General features: G+C 36.6%; 1 protein-coding gene across 9 annotated transcripts in view; it reads left to right on the forward strand.

The window, feature by feature from the left end:
- TENM2 (teneurin transmembrane protein 2) overlaps positions 1 to 23,048 on the forward strand; it is a 1,285,129-nt gene that overhangs the window by 376,736 nt on the left and 885,345 nt on the right. For all 9 annotated transcript variants that reach the window (XM_047417418.1, NM_001395460.1, XM_017009661.2 and 6 more), the window contains one exon: positions 19,434 to 19,709. In XM_047417418.1, the coding sequence (XP_047273374.1) occupies positions 19,434 to 19,709 (276 nt within the window). The remainder of the gene's footprint in view (positions 1 to 19,433; positions 19,710 to 23,048) is intronic.

Here is a 23,048-nt window from a genome sequence, read left to right on the forward strand (position 1 = left end):
TTGTCAGATTGGATTTAATTGCCCGTCATTCTAGAGATGGAGCAGTTTTGCTGAGAAAAGTTGGCATTTTAAAAAAGAAGCAATCTAAAAGAAATGACCCTTAATTTTTTTTTTTTTTTTTTAAAGCTAGGAAGATGGCTGGGTGCCGTGGCTCACACCTGTAATCCTAGCACTTTGGGAGGCCGAGGCGGGCAGATCACCTGAGGTCAGGAGTTCAAGACCACCCTGGCCAACACGGTGAAACCCCGTCCCTACTAAAATACAAAAATTAGCTGGGCATGATGGCGGGTGCCTGTAATCCCAGCTACTCGGGAGGCTGAGACAGGAGAATCGTTTGAACCCGGGAGACGGTGTTTGCAGTGAGCTGAGATGGAGATGGGGCCACTGCACTCCAGCCTGGGTGGCTGAGCGAGACTCCATCTCAAAAAAAAAAAAAAAAAAAAAAAAAAAAAAAAAATTAAAATTAAAAAAAAGGCAGGAAGATGCAAGAGGGTTGCATCTCTATTCTCAGCTCTGTCAGAGATATGCTTTGTGACTTCTGGAAAGCCCAGAAACCTCCCTGTTTTTTGATTCTCAGAGAAGGTAATTCTTGTCACTTCCCATGGAGGATGTTGCATCCTAAGGCAGTGGGCTTTGAAAAACTCTTTGATAAACCTCCTCTCGGAATGCTAAATAGTAGAAGATAGCAGAGTCACTGGATTCTGGGAGATATTTTGAAAAAAATGAGGAAAGGCAAGGAAAGTTGCTTGCAATGACTAAACAGTTATTGAGCCCTGGGTATGCCTTGCCAGAACCCCTGAGAGGAGGCCAGGCACTGTTGCTTCACCTCTGATAATGGCCAAATGGCCAGAGTATTTGATGTTTATGCAGGGGAGTACACTGTTTGTGCATTCCAGGATGATATCAATAATAGAACACAGTACCCATTTCTCATAAGAATCCTTTGAGGAGGTTGGTGTTTTGATTCAGAGTGATTTTGGCCTTCCATACACATGAGAATTTTATGGAGGAAGCATGGCTGCATTATACCTTTCATGGGCCTTAGGCATGTTTGTCTTCATCAACCCCTTTCTCCATAAAAAGACATTTAAAATTATATTTCTCCACTGCCTTAATATGAAAGCAAATGTATTGCTTTTGTATATTAAAACATTCTCTCTGACCTAAAAGTTTATTTCTTTTGATTTTCATAGAACTTAAAGCTTTTCCGTGGGTGCCTGAAAGTATTGTGGGCCTTATAATACTGAGCCTATTGTGTCCAATGGATAAGTTGGCTCTGGGAGGAAAGCTTTGTTCAAGTCGACATTTTTTTTAAATCTAAATGTATGAATTCCAATATTTTGAGGAAAAAGGCCTTGTCTTAAAGATGAATATCCTTATCTGAAAATAGTAGAAATTTGTAACGTAATACTAATTGATTACTGTGGATTCAGAATTTGTAGTTATAACTTATACTTCAGGAATAACATGGTCCACATGGAGCACAGAGCCCTCGTTGCTTTGACTTTTTCCCCCTTATGCAAGAGCCATCCTTTCTTTTTTTTTTTTTTTCTTGTTGCCCAGGCTGGAGTTCAGTGGCGCAATCTCAGCTCACTGCAACCTCCGCCTCCCAGGTTCAAGCGATTCTCCTGCCTCAGCCTCCCGAGTAGCTGGGATTACAGGCATGTGCCACCACACCTGGCTAATTTTTGTATTTTTAGTAGAGACGGGATCTGGAACTCCTGACCTCAGGTGATCCTCCCGCCTCAGCCTCCCAAAGTGCTGGGATTACAGATGTGAGCCACTTTGCCCGGCCGAGCCATCCTTCTTAAGGACAGTGTTTCCACATTGCATTTCAGATTGTCTTATTTTTTAAAAACTCAATATAGTCACCACAATTTAATTATTTTATGTGAATCAAGGCAAGGCTAGTGAATGATGACTTGAGTGCTATGTGTGTACGATAATAAATTTGTTCTCATATGTTTTTGAAGTTTATTAAATTTCAAGTAGTCCTTTGATTCTGTTCTTCAGTTGTACTAAAACGCCTGGTCTATGCATTCTCTCACTCTTCCAGATGTTGCTTCTAAGCCTCCAGCACCTCCTCCTCATCTTCAATCAGAAACGAATTTCGAAACCACATCTACCATCCACACACTCCCAGCTTCTGTGCCCACATACTCCACCTTATTGCCTATCACTCTAAGTGAAAAACTTCTACTGTTATCCCAGGTAAAGCGTTCACCTGTGTGCAACATCACGGTCCCACTGGTCTATTAGAGGTTGCTCCAGGAATTCTACCTGCCTGTCTCCTAAATGAACCATTCTTTGATTCCTTCTCGCACAAAAACCTGCTGTTCTTTTCCCTGACTTACATTCACCCACTTCTTCTACCAGTTACTGCCACATTCCTTTACTACAATTTGCAGCCAATCTCAGAAGAGCTGTCTATCACATTGCTTCTGATTACTCTCCCCCATTTTCTCATAAACACAATCCAATCAGACTTTCACATATACCCCTCCACATAATTGCTCTTGCCAAGGTCACCAATGATTACTATGTTGCTACATCATAATTGTCCATTCTCAGTTCTCTTAATGACCCATCAGCAACATTTGCAACAGTTAATCACTCCCTCCTCTTTGACATACTTTCTTCATTTAGATTCCATTCTACCATACACTCGTGGCTTTCCTCCCACTGCACAGGTCACTCCTTTCTTCTTTTTTTTTTTCTGTTTATAGTTATTTGACCCTTGTGGTCTTATGGTCCCTCTTTCCATACTCCTTTACTGCTTTCTCTTCTTCACTCCAAGCTCTTAATAGGAAAGTGACCCGGGGCTCAATTCTTGATATTCTTTTCTATCTACATTTATTCCAAACTGGGGATTTTCTCCAGTTCCACAATGTTAAATAGTATGTACATGGCAATGACTCCCAAATCTGTATCTCGTATATCAGACCTGTCTCATATATTCAGCTAACTGATCAGCATTTTCACTTATATGTCAAACACCCAAAGTAAACTCAACATCTCGAAGACTGAAATTCTGATCTGCACACACACACACACACACACACACACACACACACACACACACACACACCCTGCTGTTTTTACAGCCTACCCCATCTCAATAGATAGTAACTCTCTCTTAGTTTTCAATCCAAAAATGATGTCACTTCTAACCCCTCTGTTTCTACCACACCCTGCGTGTAATCCATCAGCAAATTTCAAGACTGCCCACCCCGACACTCTTTCCATCCGGACGGGCTGTAATCGTCTTTCCCATGCAATCTTAAAGTGTATTTTAAGTGGTCTCCTTGATTCGGTTCTGCCACATTCCTTTACTACTCTTTGCAGCAAATCTCAGAAGAGCAATCCTTTTAAAATGTAAATTAGATGATGTCATCTTTCCCTCCCAAAACAATGCAATGGCTATTTCACTGAAACCAAGGTCCTTAAAATCACCTCCAAAGCCACACAGGACCCAACTGTCTCCTTAACTCTCTGATGTCTTCTCTTAAGGTTGTAACTTTGCTGCCTTCATTCCAGCCACAAAGTCCCCCTTGCTCTTCCTAGAATGTGCCAGGCATGCTCCTTCCTGAGATCTTTGCACCATTGGCTTCCTCATGCAGCAGGTATTGGAAAGATTAAATTTCCCAATTTACTTAAGTAGTTTTTTTAAAGTCACTTTCTCACTGAGCTTTCCTGGATCAGATTATTCAAAGTATTCATGAATGGCCTTGCACTCTTCTACTTTCTATTTTTTTTTTCTTTTCATAGTACCTACCACCTTTTAAGATATTACATACTTAAGTTTAATTAGATTCCATTTGTTAATTTTTGCTTTTGTTGCGATTGCTAGGGGCATCGCTGTCACGAAACCTTTGCCAGTTCTTACGTCCAGAATGATATTGCCTAGGTTGCCTTCCAGGGATTTTATAGTTTTGGGTTTTACATTCAAGTCTTTAGTCCATATTGAGTTGATTTTTGTATGTGGTGTAAGGAAGAGGTCTAGTTTCAATCTTCTGATATGACTAGCCAGTTATCCCAGCACCATTTACACCATGGAATACTATGCAGCCATAAAAAGGAATGAGATCATATGAGCCCTTTGCAGGATCATGGATAGAGCTAGAGACCATCATCCTTAGCAAACTAAGACAGGAACAAAAAGCCAAATACCGCATTTTCTCACATATAAATGGGAGCCAAACAGTGAGAACACATGAACACAAAAAAGGGAACGACAGACACTGGGGTCTACCTCAGGGTGGAGAGTGGGAGGAGCGAGGAGCAGACAAAAGAACTACTGGGCACTAGGCTTAGTATCTGGGTGATGAAGAAATCTGTACAACAAACCCCGGTGATACAAGTTTACTCAAACAAGAAACCTGCACATGTACTGCTCAACCTAAAATAAAAGTTTTTAAAAAATTAAACCCATTATATCCAAGTACTTACTGTAGATAAGGCACTGTATCGCCCTAAAAAAGGTGTCAGATACTTAGACATTATGTTAACTGTTTAATGTCTGTTTATCTCAGCCAAAATAGAAGCTCTGTAAGGGCTTGATCTACTTTGTTTGCTGATACATTTCAAGCCCTTAGAACCAGGCTTAGCATTTAGTAAGCACCAATAATATTGGTCAAATGAGTTAATGGATGTACTAGTGAATAAGGCTCTTTGCCTTTGTTCTTCCGGCCCAGGGTCGCATTCTTTTAGGTTCTATGTCTCTTCTCATGTATTCCCAGCTCCCATATGGTAGGCTGTCTTTCTGCTCATGGTATCCTCCATTTATGGTGTGAGATAATGACATAACAATGTATGTTAAGAATGAATATTCATTACAGGAAAAAGAACCTGAAAATTTCTCCTACTGGTTCTGCTGCTGTTTCTACTACAATTATTACTCTGCACAATTTTCTAAAATATTTTATTCAGGACCCCCTATTCTGGTTACACTGCTAAGTGTTTTCTAGTCACAGATAACTTTTATCTCTATAGGCTTATGAGGATAGGTATTATTAAGCATGTTTCATGAATGAGAAGACTGGAGATTGGGAGTGGAAGTTTAATTAGAGTGCGTACTATCAAACCATAAGTAGTGGAATAGGAATTCAAACTCTGGGCTACTCGCTTCTACAATATTCTTAACCACAGATGTACACAGTCTCTCACCTAGGGAACAAAGTGCGTGGGTTTCCTGACAGTATATCAGTCATATTGTGATTTGGTTATGTGTACTTTTGCTCCATAACTTTAGCCCAAATTGAATGGAACTTGAAAAGACATACGAATGGGGGTATTTCTATGTAGTGTAATTGAACATATGAGCAGGGACATGCTGAGTGATGTGACATAATAGAAAACATTATGATATCACAAATAATTTAAAGTATGGAACTAGGATAGACTTATCCAAGGTTTTTATTTTCAAAATTTTTAAATTGATTTTTTTAAGGAAAGTCATAGAAAAGTACAGAGAAGAAAGCGAGCAATGAGTATCACTTGTAATTAACGAGTGTTAATATTTTGTCAAATTTACCTCAAATCCTCTTTTTTTCCTAATTGCATTCTTCTCCCTCCATCTCCAGAAATAATTGCGATTAAGAATTTGATTTATATTTTTCTAGTCCAAACTTATCTCTTTGCTATGTATGTGTCTATAAACAACATATAGCACTCATTGTATCTTTCTTATTGTGTTTTTGTAACTGGACATTTGTAATTTGACATCTATCCCTCTTAAGACCAAGGCTATTATTTCTAATAATTCTCTACTCCTAAAATTGCCACTGTGTGGCAAATGATGGCCAGAGTTAAAGGCCTTAAGTTCTTTTTGTCACTTTTTCAGGAGACTTTTTTCATCTAAACATCTTTTGTAATAAGCAGTATATGAACAGTATTATTTAGCACATTTAACTCTGTCAACAGTTTTCAGTGGATAGTGTGAAGACCTTTTTTAAAAAGTCATAACTCGATGCCTCTGGATATGCTGAAATCCTCATGAAGCTGTTGTCTCTATTATATGTGAATACATCCATTAAGTGTTGATAGTAATGGTTGTAAGGTCCTTTGGTTTATAGCTCTAACCACATAGGGAATGATATATTTTAGTGGAGAATTAGTCTCTGGCATTGCTGAAACTGATTACTTATAGCACCACTCACCCCATGTATATAACAAGTGCTGATGGTGTAGTATTTCAGCTGTGATGACATAAGAATTTTTTTTAACCTTATTGAGCCAGCTTCTGCCTTCTATTCTTGAACTCCTTTTTGACTTTGGCTGTATGTGACTCAACAACTCTCTGTAAGTCAACAGCTGCCAGATGCTAAGTGTAATTAAGGCTTTACATGTATTTGTAACCTACGACATGTGTTTGGAACACAGGAAGCAAGGTAGGAAAGGAAGAAAAGGAAAACTCTTGACTCAGTTTCAATTATCCTCTCCCTGCTTAATGGATGCTAACACGCACTAGGAAGCTATGGTCTTGCCATTTTTTATAAGCTCAATGGCTGGAGGCTTAGTATGGTTTTAGACAAGTATCTACATCCTAACTGTAATTGGTGATGAGGCAGTTGATTTAAAAGAATTCTTTTACAAACAAGAGTATATCATTAACATTTCCCCTCAAATATTTGTGGTCTAATATACGGTGTGATTACTTACTGAGGCAAAGTATCTGCTATACATATATTCACCTGCTGATAGACTGTGATCCATCCATCTCACTAGATGTCAGAATGTAGATGAGTTAATTAACTCTTGAGATCTAGAATAATTCTTCTGTGATAGGAAAGTCAAAGTGTTTTCAAAACATCAAGCACATGATGGAAATAGGCACCTTGGTGAGTGCTGTAAATGCAAGTGTCATGTGCCTTTTGGTTAATTTCAGTAATGTTAGCAGCGTCTCTACTGATATATCATACTTTTTGTATTTTTATGGAAAAGTAAGATATTGCATTACTTAATGGAATAAACATTAAATATATCTAAATATATGCAGCTTAACTAAAAACTGCATTTTATTTACATTGTGGCAGAATAAGCTGAAAATAGAACCCCATTTCATTGCTTATCATTTTGTAGTTTTATATTTACTATTAAGAGTACAATAATAATAATAGTAACATGAATAATAATAGCTAATATCGATCGACTTATTGGTGTGTGTGTGTTTGTTACACACACCTACACACGTATTTATTGCATGTGACCACAAGATGCAAGTACTATTATTCTTCCATTTTACAGGTGAGAAAATGGAAACAGAAGTATTAAATAGCTTGATCAGAACAACAACAACAAAACAGTCCTCACAGCAAGTAAGAGAACTCTCCATCCAGGCAGATTTAAAACAAAATAGAAGAAGAAATAAAAATAAGCAAAAGTCAGAAATCTGAGCATTGAATTGTTAGCCCACAGTAGGTTTTCATTGTGAGCAAAGACTGCTACCAGAACTGCAATTGGGAAATGACCTGAGGCTTAGAGCAACAAGGACATGAAACTGAGATTTCTGTAGTAAGCCAGGAAACCTAAAAAGAGGTATGTGTTCAACACTACCACATGCACATTGCCTGTGTAGAATCAAATACAAATTTTTTAGCCGGCAAGAATCCCAGTTTAGGCCTGTGTGATTTTTGAAAATTAAAATAAACCAACATATCTAAAATTAAATATAATTAAGTATGTAAGGATGGGCACGGTGGCTCACGCCTGTAATTCCAGCACTTTGGGAGGTCGAGGCAGGCGGATCACAAGGTCAGGAGGTCAAGACCATCCTGGTTAACACGGTGAAACCCTGTCTCTACTAAAAATACAAAAAATTAACTGGGCATGGTGGTGGACGCCTGTAGTCCCAGCTACTCGGGAGGCTGAGGCAGGAGAATGGTGTGAACCCAGGAGGTGGAGCTTGCAGTGAGACGAGATTGGGCCATTGTACTCCAGCCTGGGCAACCAAGCGAGACTCCATCTCAAAAAAAAAAAAAAAAGAAAAGAAAAAGAAAAAAGAGAAAAAGGAAACAAACCTTCATAGTTAAGTGTGAGCAAGTCCATAAATAATTGATTTTGACCTTTAAAGTTTTAAAACATTAGAATTTATCATTTACATACTATTAACTATGTATAATAGAAAAACTAAACAACAATTGAAAAGCAATATCAGTTTTATAAATGAAATGCAAATTGTTGAAATTAAAAAAAGTTTAGTACATAACAGTGAATATGAGTTCAAGCACAATTAAAGAAATAATAAGAGTAATCATAAGAAATCAGCAACAGACTGCACAGAGAGAAAAGACATAAAAATACAACAGAAGCATTTAGAGAGAAAAAGGGTAGCGTAAGATCAGCTGAGTTTAATTGGTGAAAAGAATAGAGTATGGAAGTGAATAAATATATAAAAGAGGCAATGACTGAGACTTTTTTTATATTAAGAAATCATGAATTTACAGAAATAGAGGCACAAAATATATCAAGTAAGATTAGAATGCTAAATAGACTGGTACAACATACGTATTGTAGTCCTTAGAGCACCACTAAAAAATCTGTGAAAAGATAGACAAAAAGCCTAGACAAAATTTAAATGAAAATTTTAAATAATTTATTAACTGACAACAATTAGGCAAAGAAATACAGAGGGAGGAAAATGCAGGGAGCACAAACAGGAAAACATAAATAATAAACCTAAATCCAGTCATATCAATAATTACATTAAATATAAATTGACTATCATACCAATTAAAAGACAGAGATTGTCAGATTACTTAAATAACAAGACCTAATTATATGCTGGCTACAAAAGGCATATGTCAAATGTAAAGACAACAGAAAAGTTGAAAGTAAATAAATGGAAATAGATGAGTCACACGTTTATTGCTTACAATAAAAATAAGAAAGCTGGCTTGACTGCTTTATGTAAGGCAAAATAGACTTTAAGATCACGAGAATTACAAGAGAAAAAGATGAGCATTTCAAATTGATAAAAGGGTCAATTTATTCTAGGGATATAAAAGTCTATGTGCCTAATAACATAGTTTTACAGCGAGAAAGAGAAGGAATAAAAGACAAAGCAAAATTAACAAAAATAAAGGAGGAAAGAGAAAAAAAAACTACAGATTTAACTCTTTTCTCAGTAACTGAAAAAATATCTAGACAGAAATATAGGATATAGAGAATTTGAAAAACGTTGTTGACCACCTTGACCTAATAGACATTTATAGGACACTACACACGAGAATTCTCGTATCACATTATTTTTCAAGGAAAAACTCTGCAATATATTCTATATGTTGTGCTATAAAATAAGTCTCAATAAGTTTCAAGATGGAAATCCTGGAGAGTTTGTTTTCTGTCCACCAAGCATGTAATTTAGAAATCGGTATCAATCAGACAAGTCCCAGATATTTGGAAGTAAAATTACACACTTCTAAGTAACCTGTGGGTCAAAGAAGTAGATGAGAAATTTAAAAATTTTGGAACTGAATGATTTGCATGCACAATACATTCAAATTTTGGGGGTACAGATAAAGAGGAAAATATTATAGGTTTGCAAATTTACTTAAGAAATAAAGAAAATATTTCAAATCAGTGGTCTACATTTCTACCGCAAGAACCTAGAGAAGGATGAGAAAAAAAAAACTCAAATTAAGTAGAAATAAATAAGATAAGTGCAGAAATTAGGGAAATGGAAAATAAACAATACAATAAATTAAAGCCAACAGCTGTTTGAAAAATCGATAAAATAAAACTCCAGTAAGAATGATCAATTTAAAAAAAGAAAGGATCCCTCATATCAAAAATGAAAGAAAGAATACTGTTAGAGATTTACACATATTAAAAAAAGTCATAAATGTTTGTGAAATTGACAAATTCCCTGTAAAACACAATTAATATTAGAAAGCATATATTACCTCAGAAGTCTTTATTAGGGTCACCATATATTGATGATAAAATGTTCAATCCATCAGAAAGCTATAATGCTAAGCTTACAACAGGTACCTATAAAATAACCTTAAATAGACACAGAGCAAACATTGACAAAACAGTATTGAGAAACACCCATCACAGTAAGAAATTTCAATATGTATCTTACAATTATAGATGGGACACACCAACAGCAAATTAGTAGTAATGCATAAAATGTATAGCATGAAATGCTTATAATAATAAAGAAGAATGGCTGAACATTAAAGACATAAAGGATCAAATTTTGAAGGTATAGAAAACAACAATTGAATGAACTTAAAGAAAGAAATAATTTGTATACATAAGGGTAGAAATTGATAAACTAAAAACATACACAGACAGTAGGTAGAGTCAGAAAAACAGAATTTTTTTTCTTTTGAAAGAAAAAAAATTTTATTGGTGAAACCAATTCAGTTAAGAAAAAGAAGGCACAAATAAATATTATGAGGAATGAAAATAAAGACAGTATTCTACAAACCTAGCAGAAATTTTTAAAAAGCCTAAACAATACATGGATAACCTATTGTATTTATGTCAACCTATTTGAAAGCATAAATGAAATGGGCACATTCCTAGAAAATTTATTGTTCCTAAATTTTCTAAATCAACTCATGACAAAATAGAAAATAGTAATAATTCTATGTAAAGAAATAAAGCAAGTTTCTTCCTCTGTAGACTGATGATCATCATAATAGCTACATTTGTTTTTTGGTTATTCTGATGCAGGCAACAATCTAAGCATTTTCCGCTGCTTTGTGTCATTCAGTACCCTCCTCCACCCTGTGAAAGTAGGTGCTATTTTTATGTCCCTTTTATAAATGAAGTCAGCAGAAGTAATTAATTCTAAGACTATCTGGTCGACAAGTATTTTTAAAACAGACATTCTAACTCCTGATTTTCTTAACCTTAGGCTATATGGTGACTGTTTTGTAGGGCTGCTTTTTTAATTAAAAGGGGAAACTATATAAAAGCATTTAGGACAGTGCTTGACACATTTTGAAGCCTTCAGTAACTGTAAACTAACCTAGTAGCCTTGCAGCTAACTCACTACTCTCTCTTTCCCTCTCTTTCTCTGATGAAAAAAATTGTTTATGGAGGAAGAGTCTCATATAGTCAGGTGAATGTACATGTTTGTAATGCTCTCACATAGGATAACTGATTGGTATAGTTTTTAATACTGAAATTGATTTTTAATTTCGTTGGAATTTTCATCAGCAGAAAACCATCTCCAACTAGCCAGGCTCCTGGACATTTCATTTTTATTTATGAACTGCCAGTTTTTCAGCAGAACCCTTTTGTTGTGGCTGATTTTGGGTTTTCCAAATTGGGCTTTGTTCAGATTGGAATGGGAAAATGCCACCACATCAGAGGAGAATGCCACCTTCACCTTTTTCTTTGAAAGTTATAAGCTTACAGGAAAACCTAGGATACTGGAAACTCTTCTGTCTTCACTAGCCATCTTGGTGTTTCCTTGATTTAGTATGTGTTTATTAACATTGGAATGGTTCTAGTTACAAATTGTAAATGTTTGGACACATCAGAAGATATTTATATAGATTAAAATAATGAGTCTAAAAGTTTACAAATATCAAAATATCAATCTCTTAGGTGTCATATATTAAAAAATGTAATTCTTAAAGCACACTTCTGAAATATAAATATTTGGCTTAAACTTTTATGAATAATAATGCATGTACACTTACTCTGTTGTTTTAAGCCAGAGGATTTTGGGTGAACAGTTTTATCAACATTTGGGAAAATATCTAAATATGTAAAAACAGATGAACTTTAAAAGGTCATTAAAAGAGAGTTTATGTGAAGACTTTTAGGATATACAAGCATAAAACATTAGTATTCATAAATACTTCCTCTGGTGCCTTCCAAAATGGTGATCATTAAATATGTAAATATGTAGGCTTTTATATTTGTATAAAAATAATATTTTAGATAATGTTGATAACGGTTTTAAACCGATTATTTTGTATGGCTCACACATATCTACAATTGGCCAACATTTAAATATAACATATTTAAATGCGAGATAACAATTTGGCATTTCATTTTGATTTGTCAAACAGAAATAAAATTATATTTTATCACTTACAACTGCTACATTTTTCTTGATAACTTTCTATGGGCAAAAACTTAAGGCATCATGTCAAATCACTTCAATTTCTTTGATAAAAAGTACTATAACGTTATAATATCTATCTTTTTCTTAAATATCTGCTAGAAAAAATTGTACTCCATATTCATTCTTGACTTTAAAATGTACGCTCTAACATTTGCACAAGAAAAATGACCCATGTTTGTTTACAAGGGATTCTCTTTGTTTTAGGATGAATGATTTTAGAAAAAGGCCGCTTAAAAAAGGAATCAATATTCAAAAGAACAAATGTTTCAAATTAAATAGTAAAAATAATTTATTGCAACTGTATCTTGAAAAAAATAAACCTAATTATCAAAACTATATTTCAGTTTGTTTAATTTCATTTACTATTAGAACTAGGCATATTTTGCATAGTTCAGTTTAAATTTAATATTATTCACTATTTGAATGATGCATATTTTTTTTCAAAGTGATAAAGAATAACAGTTTGGGGGTGGGGCATATATAGTCATGTTACAGCAAAATTGTTTGATTGTACCACATTATATCCTTCCCTTTAGGCTTGCATTTTGCAGCAGGATCATAGAGGGTCATTTTTTTTCCAAAAAATACTTGATGAGTTCATTAATTTTCCTAAGGGCTTCTCATTAACCTTTTATTTAAATAATTATCAAGTTGAGATTTTCTTGGTACGCGATATGACCAATGATTTTTTTACTATATCCTGGCCAATTGAAATATTACATTATGAAACCCTGGATCGTATTTAAATCTTCTGTTATAGTAAGCCTCTTCTGACACTGAGCCGATGGGAATAGTGGGATACTGTGTCTTGACAGCCAGGTGGATGTAAAGGTGTACTTTGTGTATACTGTGTGTGTATTTTGACAAGGTGAGGAAGGGGGTGCAGTGAAAGAGCGCTGCTTCGTCGCGGCAGGGCAGAGTTGAGATTTTAGAACCCTCCCCTACCCCCACCCCAGGCCTCTGCTGATGACAACCTCGCTGAGAGGGAGAGAGTTACCTCCTACCATTCCCCTCAGGTCCTCTTCTGATCATGGTGGTGAAATTATATTTAACATTTAGCCTTCTCTGCCCCCAGCAAGGAGAGAGGGAGGGCTGGGGATAAAAGTCCGGGATCCCCGCGCTGGTCTCCACGGACAACACTTGGTCTTTTAAAATTTTACTCTGGTGTGTTTGTAAAAGTGTAGGGATGGGGCTCCTTGCTACAGCAGGCTGTACTTGGGGCTTGTTTTGTCTGCTGCCGTTTCCAATTTGCAGGTTTCTCTAGCACCAGGTTTGGAACATATGAGGCAAAAATAAACCCCAGGGAACTCACCACCATGTAGTTCCTGAGGCTCCAGGACCCTGTTAAGTCTACCTTGTCCTGTCCCATTTTTCAGAAACTGCTTATGTGATTTTTGTATGTAATGTCCAGGGGTTTTAGCTGTACTTAGTGGGAAAAGTAGAAAAGGGGAACACTAAATCTTGGTCCAGAACCAGATGTCTGTCAAATCAGATTTTGAAGTTCCCATCGTCGTGACCACACTATTTCTATCTTCTCTTGTTAACTGACTTAATTCTGTTAGATTTTCGTTATTCTGTGACCTTTTTGATGAACTATTTTTTTTTTGCATAATTTTTCTTGACTTCATGAAAATCTGCAACTTCCCAAGCTTTACAATCTAATTATAGATTGGCACCATATTACTTTCTGCTATCAGCAAGTAATTAATTACTTAGACGTTGATACGGTAGTTGATGTGAGAAGAGATACTAGGAGAAAGTGGGCAGGGATGGGTAGGGATTAATTTTATAAGTGGTCATTCGTGACTTTTCATGTTATTACAACTTTTATTTCTCTGTATAAAATGACTTCTCTTAAATTCAGGGTGCTTGCATAACAAACATTTAGACAATGAAAGTTTTCTGTATTGCATACAGTTAGCTTTTATCTTCTTGCCCTTGTAGTATAAAATCTGTTCCAATGCTGGCATTTTCAGTGCTATTTGTGTATCCTGGTATTACCATGACATGATAATTCTGACTTAACTACATATGTGCTTTTCCTAGTTAAAGGTTATTTCAAAGTTGGTAAAAACTTAGAAAATAAAGCCATGATCACAATGCAAAGACATATCTCTCCTTAAAATTGCATCCCAAATAGAATTAGTGGGTCAAAGAATGACCCTTGAATTCTGTTGCAAAATTTCTCTCTAAAAAAGGCATGGAGGCTGGGCGCGGTGGCTCACGCCTGTAATCCCAGCACTTTGGGAAGCTGAGGTGGGCAGATCACGAGGTCAGGAGATCGAGACCATCCTGGCTAACACGGTGAAACCCCGTCTCTACTAAAAATACAAAAAATTAGCTGGGTGTAGTGGCGGGTGCCTGTAGTCCCAGCTACTCGGGAGGCTGAGGCAGGAGAATGGCGTGAACCCGGGAGGTGGAGCTTGCAGTGAGCCGAGATAACGCCACTGCACTCCAGCCTGGGCGACAGAGTGAGACTCCGTCTCAAAAAAAAAAAAAAAAAAAAAAAAAAAAAAGACGTGGAGAGGATCTGGATTATACACTGTGGTTACGATCAAGAAAAGACAATTTAACGTCCAAGATATTTATCAAGAGAGTTATTTTAAGACTTGTGTTCCCCTCTTTTGATCACTGAACAGTTTTTAGACATTAACATTCTCTCCCAACCTTAAATTACACTAAAATTGCTTTATGTAAATATTATAGATTGCATGTAATCGTTTATCTATAAAAATATTGATTCTGGCCTTGATAATGTACCATGGGGCCACACTGGGTGAGTTATCGGCAACAGCCATAGAGCACATACCTGAAATAAAATGTATTGGCACATCATCTATATGCACTTTTATCAGTGATATCAGGAGACTGGAGGCAGATAGAAGATAAATAATACATATGTATTCCATGAATACTGATATATTGTGCCTCCTTGTTATCTTTCTGAAAGATAGTAAAGAAGAATGAAGGGTTCACGGCTTTCCACTAGAAATCTTAGCTTGGAGAATCACACAATGAGTAGTTTCTCTCTTTCATTCAAAGCTGCCACAGAGCTTACTGAAAACATAATTATGCGAGATGAATTAGGGCAAAATCAGTCTCCCATCGATGAGCAAAGTAAGTGCAAAACAGTAAGTTGAGCTAGTATTAAAAATGCTTCCATACTAATTTACATTCTGAGAAGTCTGTATAGAATGCAGGGCTTCTTGCTGTAAGATAAAATACATGGAAAACAATGGTTGGAAATCAATCCATATAGAAGAATATTTGGGAAAACTGGGTATGGTATGAGCAAACTGAAGTAGGTATGTGTGATAGCTTCTCAATAGAGTAAATCCCCAGTCCTTTGGAGTGTTCACCCCAAACTAGATGAACAGCTGGTGAACAGGCTGTGAAGGCATGAGGCTTCCTTGCACCTCCTTGACCTGTGCAAGGCATGAGGTCACCTTGCACCACGATGTGACCTCCATGGCTCCCTGTTTTTTTTTTTTTTCTTTCTTTTCTTTTTTTTTTTTTTGAAACGGAGTTTCGCTCTTGTTGCCCAGGCTCAGGCTGGAGTACAATGGCGTGATCTCAGCTCACCACAACCTCCGCCTTCCGGGTTCAAGCGACTCTCCTGCCTTGGCCTCCCGAGTAGCTGGGATGACAGCCATGCGCCACCACACCCGGCTAATTTTGTATTTTTAGTAGAGATGGGGTTTATCCATGTTTGTCAGGCTGGTCTCGAACTCTTGACCTCAGGTGATCAGCCTGCCTCGGCCTCCCAAAGTGCTAGGATTACAGGAGTGAGCCACTGCGCCCGGCCTGTTCTTTTCCTATGTAATATTTATCACTGTATGGATTGCACTTTGTTTATGTGATTCTTTGATTAATGCCTTTTTCCCCGATTAGACTGTAAATGTCATGGACTATATTTTTATAATGCACACTGTTATATCCCTGATGCCTCACACAGTACTAGGAACAATAAATATTTGTTGAGTGATTTAATAACTGGATAGACCCATTTTTATTTCTTTCTCCTGAGTATATGGCTCACCAGCTTCATATGTTAAGCCAGCATACCTGGAAAAAGCTTGGTCCAGAACCTGTTCCAGGTATTAATACTTACAATGAGGTTCCTATTCTTTAAGTTAGTGGAGAGTAGAAAGATACCAAACTAGGAATTGTGGGGAAATGGTGGCATTGGCAAGGAGTGAACCTGTTGGAAAGTGAAGATGAAAAGGTAATTTTAAAAAAAAATCAATATTGATTTTAGAGGAAAATCTTCCTTTCTATATACCAATGTAAACATACTCATTTAGCTTTTCCTGGCAAATTCAGCACAGACCTTCCAATTTTCTTTACAATGCTGTTCCTTTGTGGCTCGGGGGCTATAAGCTTGAAGGTGAAACTCTTAAAGTGCACTTTTTCTTTTCTAACATTTGTGGTTACTTTTTAAATGTATGCAAATCTTACTTGATTCCTGAAGACCTCAAGTTTGTTTTCTCATAAAAATAAGATTTCAATTTCTTATCTCAAGTAATTTTAACTAAAGAAGGGGCACTGTGTGTACTCCATGTCCTCCCATGGCCCTCAGCCCACTGTTACCTCTGGAACCCAGGCCAAAAACCACATGCAGTGCTCTTCACAAAGCCTCCTGTCCTCATACAACTTTTCCTTCTTTCCTGAGGAGGTCTTTGAAACTAGTTCTAGATAATGAGATGTGGGAAAACCATGTTAAAAGTTGTCTTAATACACACCCACTCCATTTTAAATGGGATTACATAGCTACAAATCCTCACATGTGGAATAAAAATATGTGTTTTAGTTTGGGTTTTCATTTATTGTGGGAAAATGAAGCAACATATCTTATGACTCTGTCCAGAAGGAACTTGCTCTCTAAGGACAAGATGGAAGAATATTAATATCAAATGACTTTTTTTCAATGACTTAAGGATGAGAAAAGCAACAATAGAAAGATCTTGTAATATTGTGTATACACACATACACACATACTCAGTAACTTCATTTTCATAGACTACTGAGACTGAAATATAAATTTTAATGTATAATTATGAGACAGTACCAAGGATGCAAACTGGAACAGAATACTCTGGGCAGAGAATTTCAGAGAGCATGATAAACTGTACCCAGGGAATAAACAGCAGCACTTAGCAGTGTGCTGATGGCAGAGAGGACTTCCCTCTTCACTGCACAGGTAGTGGGTAATCACCCCATGCTGACAGGAACCTGCACTTGGGTTAGCTCTCCAATGAATAAGTTTCATTCTGAAGAGACAATTATGTATAGAATTGGGCTTGATTCCATTTACACAACCAAATTAGGCTGGGAAAGCTCAGTGTTCAGTGAAGACAAGAAAAAAGCTCAGAATAAAAAGACATATGTCTATTACAAATTAAAGTCCCACTAGGTTAATGTGAGCTACACAGTGGTTTGGTGGTTTGTAAAATAAAAGGTAAAAAATGATATCGAGTATGTAGGCTACCATAGAGTGTCAAGTTACATCAAGAGTTTAGAGACAGAATGATAAGGAATGATCTTAATGTAATAGATATACGTAGAGTGGGTAAACTCTTGGCTTTGGTGTTATTTATGAGGTTTTCTCCACTCATAGCAGAGAAGTACATTTCTTCACTGCATTTTTTTCATTGTCATAAATTGGTTAAAGACAAAAGAAATCAGCATTATACATCAGTAAGTAGAGTGGACCACATGATTCTATCTGTTTTGCATGGAAATCTTAAAACATCTTTTAAGGAGCCAAGTAGTAAGCACAAATAAATAAACTGCACCAAAATGTTGCCAGGTTTGCTTTTGCTGGAGACTGCTGACACTATAGAAGCAGCACAAGTTGGGAGTCTGCAGGTACAGAGGTGAACCTGGATCTGCTGTGTGCCCAGGTGTGACCTTGGACATGGTGTTTAACCTCTCTTTGTAAAGTGGTGATGTCAACACCTAAAATGCTGGGCTATGATGGTATTTAAATGGCATAAAGCCTAAAGGTATCTGGCCCATTTTCTGACACCTAATAACACACGTTTATAGAACATGACAACGTGTTCAATAAAAACCTATTCTCTTTGCTCCCTGTCAGATCATGAGTTCCCCCTATAGGTCCCCATGTGCACACATTCACTTTCCGTAAGTGAGGCCAACTTGTGGCTTTAAATTGTGTTAGCAAAGAGAGATTCTTTGATACCATTTAGAAACCAAAGGACTAGCTCTTCATCCCTAGGATGCTGATTTCAGTGACACATTACATATACATACCTAACATAACCTCATTTCTGCCAATGATGGACCACATATACAACATGGTCTTGTAGGATTATAATACTGTATTTTTAGTGTATCTTTTCTATGTTTAAATACAAAGATACTTGCCACTATGTTACTTTGCCTACAGTATTCAGTACATAACATGCTGTGCATGTTTGTAGTGTAAGAGCAGTAGGCTAAACCTAAGCCTAGGTGTGTAATAGGCTAGACCATCTAGGTTTGTGTAAGTCACTCTGATGTTCTCAGAGCAAACATCACCTAAGGATGCATTGCTCAGAACGTATCCCTCTCTTTAAGCAATGCATGATAGCATTTATTAAAAACGACTAGTTTGGCACATGTTATATGAGGCACACAATCACCCTGAGAAAATTTTAAGAGATAAATGCCCAGATATTATAGATGAGAAAATTGGGGTTCGTGGAGTTAAGGGAATTACCATAAATGAGACTTGTCAGTGGAAACTAGGACGGGCACCCAGGTCTTCTAGCTGCCACTCGTATTCATTAGAGGGTTAACGCTGTATGACCTGAACCTTAATCTGATCCCTGCGGAGGGATCAGATCCAGGTATTGCGACCATCAAGATGCATGGCCTTGGATAAGTGCCTTAAATCCTCTGGTCCCCGGTTTCCTCATCTACAAAAGGATTACAGTAATATTATCATCTTCATAAAGTTGCAAAACATTAAAAAATATAAAAGTTGCAAAGTAAAATGTGCACAAGTAAGCACTTGGTGTATATTAGCTATTTTGATACGTTCCGGGTTTTTTCAGCTACATGGAGCTACCTAGACAACAGGGTCAACATGCCTAAAAATCTCTGAAATAAAATCTGAGCATTTTGTCCTATCATCGATATTTACTTTCTTTCTTTTGTTTGTTTTTCAAAGGTATCCCACTGTCCTGAATACTCTTGTCCAAGATCTGTTTCTGTACACCATGGTGAATTTGATGTATCTGTCAGATGGGAAAAGTGGCTGCTTTTTTGTAAGGATAAATTTTAACTTTGTAAAGCATCTCACAAATTTTAATCAGCTTCTCTGTCACTGTCACCCTAGGAACCAACTTCACCCTTGCCGAACTGGGCATCTGTGAGCCCTCCCCACACCGAAGCGGCTACTGCTCCGACATGGGGATCCTTCACCAGGGCTACTCCCTTAGCACAGGGTCTGACGCCGACTCCGACACCGAGGGAGGGATGTCTCCAGAACACGCCATCAGACTGTGGGGCAGAGGGATAAAATCCAGGCGCAGTTCCGGCCTGTCCAGTCGTGAAAACTCGGCCCTTACCCTGACTGACTCTGACAACGAAAACAAATCAGATGATGAGAACGGTAGGCCTGCTTCTTAAATACCTTTTAACGTTCTGTGCACTGCACCACGTGGGGCTTTGAATGTTTTTGTTTTTTAATGAAGCGGCGTCATAAAACCATTCATTTTCTTTGAAATCGACCTTGTCTACCCAGTGTGAGCTGGGGGGAAGTAAACCAGCAACCCTCCAGCACACAAGAAATGAGAAGAGAATTTAAAAATCACATTCTGATGATAACACAGCATTCAGGTGTAGTCAGTTGGTCTTATTAGCAAGTAAATTACATTGCAAAAGAGGCGGCTTGATAAACTATGACCTATACCTAGAAAATGTCCTCTCTCCACAAGTTTCTAGGTCTTTGTATTGATTTCCCCTTCCCAGTAAATGGAAACCTGGGTTATTTTTTTTCGTGACGATCTCTTAAGAATCCCACCTTATCTTAGACTTTCATTTCCAGGCGGCAATGCCTCATATCCGTATTGAAGATCAAACTTGGAACAGGTGCTCTGGAGCTTAATAATGACAAATAGGAAGAGACTTGTCTTCAGAAAAAGAATTCTTTATATGTTTACTTTTCCCCTTGGCAACTATGTAGGTTAATGGTTTCCCCCATCTTCTGTCACAAATCACTATTGCCTATCCATCAGCTTTCTAGGTGGATTTTAATGAAACTTTGAAAATTAAATCCTTCCGATCATTAAGCAGTAAATATAGAGAAGCCTAAGCAAAGTCATTAAAGAGATAAGGTGCTTTTTTGTGGGTTTCTGAGCAATTCCGAAGTGTGTTTAGTCAAAAACATTTTTTTAAAAAGATAAATTGCATTAGGTTACAGCTGATTTAAGACGAAAACATCAAATGCTATGTGGTTTGTTATGAATAGATGGCATGTTTGCTAAAAGAATTACCATTACCATTAAAATGTTTACAAATAGATCAGTTAAGAATGTTTATATAAAATATTAGAAACTTCTGCCAGAGCAGCTTTAAGTATTTCCTTTCATTTAAAAAAGAAAAAGGAAATTTGCAGGTGGACAGCTTGTTGTGAATGCAAAAGCATAGCTAAATATCATTTAATCTCAAAACTGTGTTGAAAATACATCATTTCCTGGGTAAGTCGCACATACTCAAAAAGATGTCACTTTTTTGAATTTAAATTTATGTTTAATTTTGAAATAATTTATTCTACAGTGGGGACAAGGGGATGTGTCTTACTTATGCCTCCGTTCATGTAGCTAATCAAGGTGTACTCTCAAGGAAAAATCTGTACTTGACTCCTTTTGAATTTTAACAAAATTCTGACACTTGGCACATTTGACACTCTGAGGTGCTTATTTAATAGGAAATTACTTTTAGAAGTTTCCATAAAAGCATACGTTGAATCCATTTACTGGTGTCCTTTTTCAGCTTCATTGTGTGTGTCATATACTATTTAAATGAAGGCAATTTGATTGCCTAATAAATAAAATCACTTGTAATCCAAGAATTTATGGCACATTTTAAACAAGGAATTTTAGCAAGTCCCTCATAGTTGGTATTCTTATACCTATAGAGGGAACCGTCTATACAGAGTTATTTATACATATTTATAGACCTGCACCTTCTCCCATTTAAGTTATATGCATCTAAAAAACTCATCTAATAAGGGAGGGTTTCTGGTGAAGCCAAGGGCACAAAAAATGCTTGCCATGAATTTACCTAGGAGAGTTATGGATGAAAAAAATCTGAAATTCATCATATATTTGGTAGACCAATAGTAGTTTCATTTTTTTCATATTATTTGAAACATCGTATTTGAATAATTTTTACTTTCTGCGAGTCTATGTAAATCCCTGCATACTGATAAGAAATAAACCCTTGATATAGTGTCCTGATTCTTTCCTACAGTACTAGTTGCAATGCAGTCAGAATTACATGAAGAGAAATGTACTTAGAAGCACTAAGCAACTCTGTATGTGAGTGTGGCTGGCAAGGCACAAAGGAGGTATTGAAGCCAGAGTTCAAACTAGGTGAGAGATGCTTATTTTAAAATATACAGGTAGAATGTCTTTGTTTTTCTTTTTAAAACATTTTTTCAATATTTTACATATTCAAAAGAGGTACATAATGTATCTTCTGTTCTCATTCTTGGCCAGAAATAAAAATAAGAAATTTTACACATCACATCATAAACTCTTTAAGCAAATACAAATTGAAGTGTGAGCAACTCTGCAGGCAGAGGTGTTAACTTCAGTAAACTTCTTGCTCTTTCTCTCTGACAAATTCTGTTTAGCTCACAAAGAAATCAATGCTTTTTCACATCACTGATTTTATGAAGTTTGGGAATGTATTATCATATAGATTGACAGTTGCCCCACTGGTTCCACACCACGGCATGGACACTTACAAAGCCATCATTAATTTCTCACACTTGTACCCAGTGATGGCTTCCTCCATAATAAACACTGTGTCCTTCAGAACCAAATCAATAACCTTTTAGGTATGCCTTTCTTGAAGAGGAAGTAACAGGAATCTATACTTTGAGAAAGAAGCTCTCCAATTTGATTTTAGGTTTTAAAGATACATGGTCAGAAAATGAATCTTTTCTGTGGGGTTCCATATGTTTTAATTTCATTTCTTGGTGGGATTTTGGGATAAATGGATTTTTCACCGTGTTTACTTAAAAATCTCCCTTAAAAAATTCCAGTTGTGATTTTGCTAAGCATAGTTAATGAGTGAAGACAGATCTCAGAAACCAACTTCCTTTTTGGTAATATGAAGTGTATATTCAGTCTGCAAAGTCATATAGTAAAATCTTTAATTTTGCCAACAGTTCTCCCTAGATCAATGTTGATTGTGCTTCCTACATGCTGCTGTGACAAAAATGACCCATTGGATAACTTGACAGTCCCATCAAACAGATGAACCTGTCTTTCTTTTCTTTCTTCTTCTTTTTTTTTTTTTTTTGGTAGTGTAGACACCATAGTGCTTCATCCTACACTCATTGATTTAGCCTCTGCATTAACATTGTGCTGGCTTGGATTGGGTTGCTTCAAATATATAAAACTCTCAGATTCATGTTATCTTTTCAGGTTCTTTAATCCTATCTTGAAGTCAATAATGATTTGGCTAGAAATGGCAATGAGAGTTGAGAACAGCCCGGCCAAGTTTTTGCTGCTGTGAAATTTGAAAGGGCTTTCCTAGTAACTTTAAATTAGAGTCCATACTTTTGTTCAATAATAAATGTCCCACTTAAAATATGTCCTCTCTAAGGCCATTTGTATTATATGAGTTATGGAGAAAAAGGGGTAGTCAGTAATACAGAAGAATAACTAATTGCCTCCTTAAAGATGCAAAGCAGCACAAACTAAAAAATCTTGTCTAT

This window comes from Homo sapiens, chromosome 5, assembly GCF_000001405.40.
Source record: "Homo sapiens chromosome 5, GRCh38.p14 Primary Assembly".
NCBI classification, from domain to species: Eukaryota; Metazoa; Chordata; class Mammalia; order Primates; family Hominidae; genus Homo; species Homo sapiens.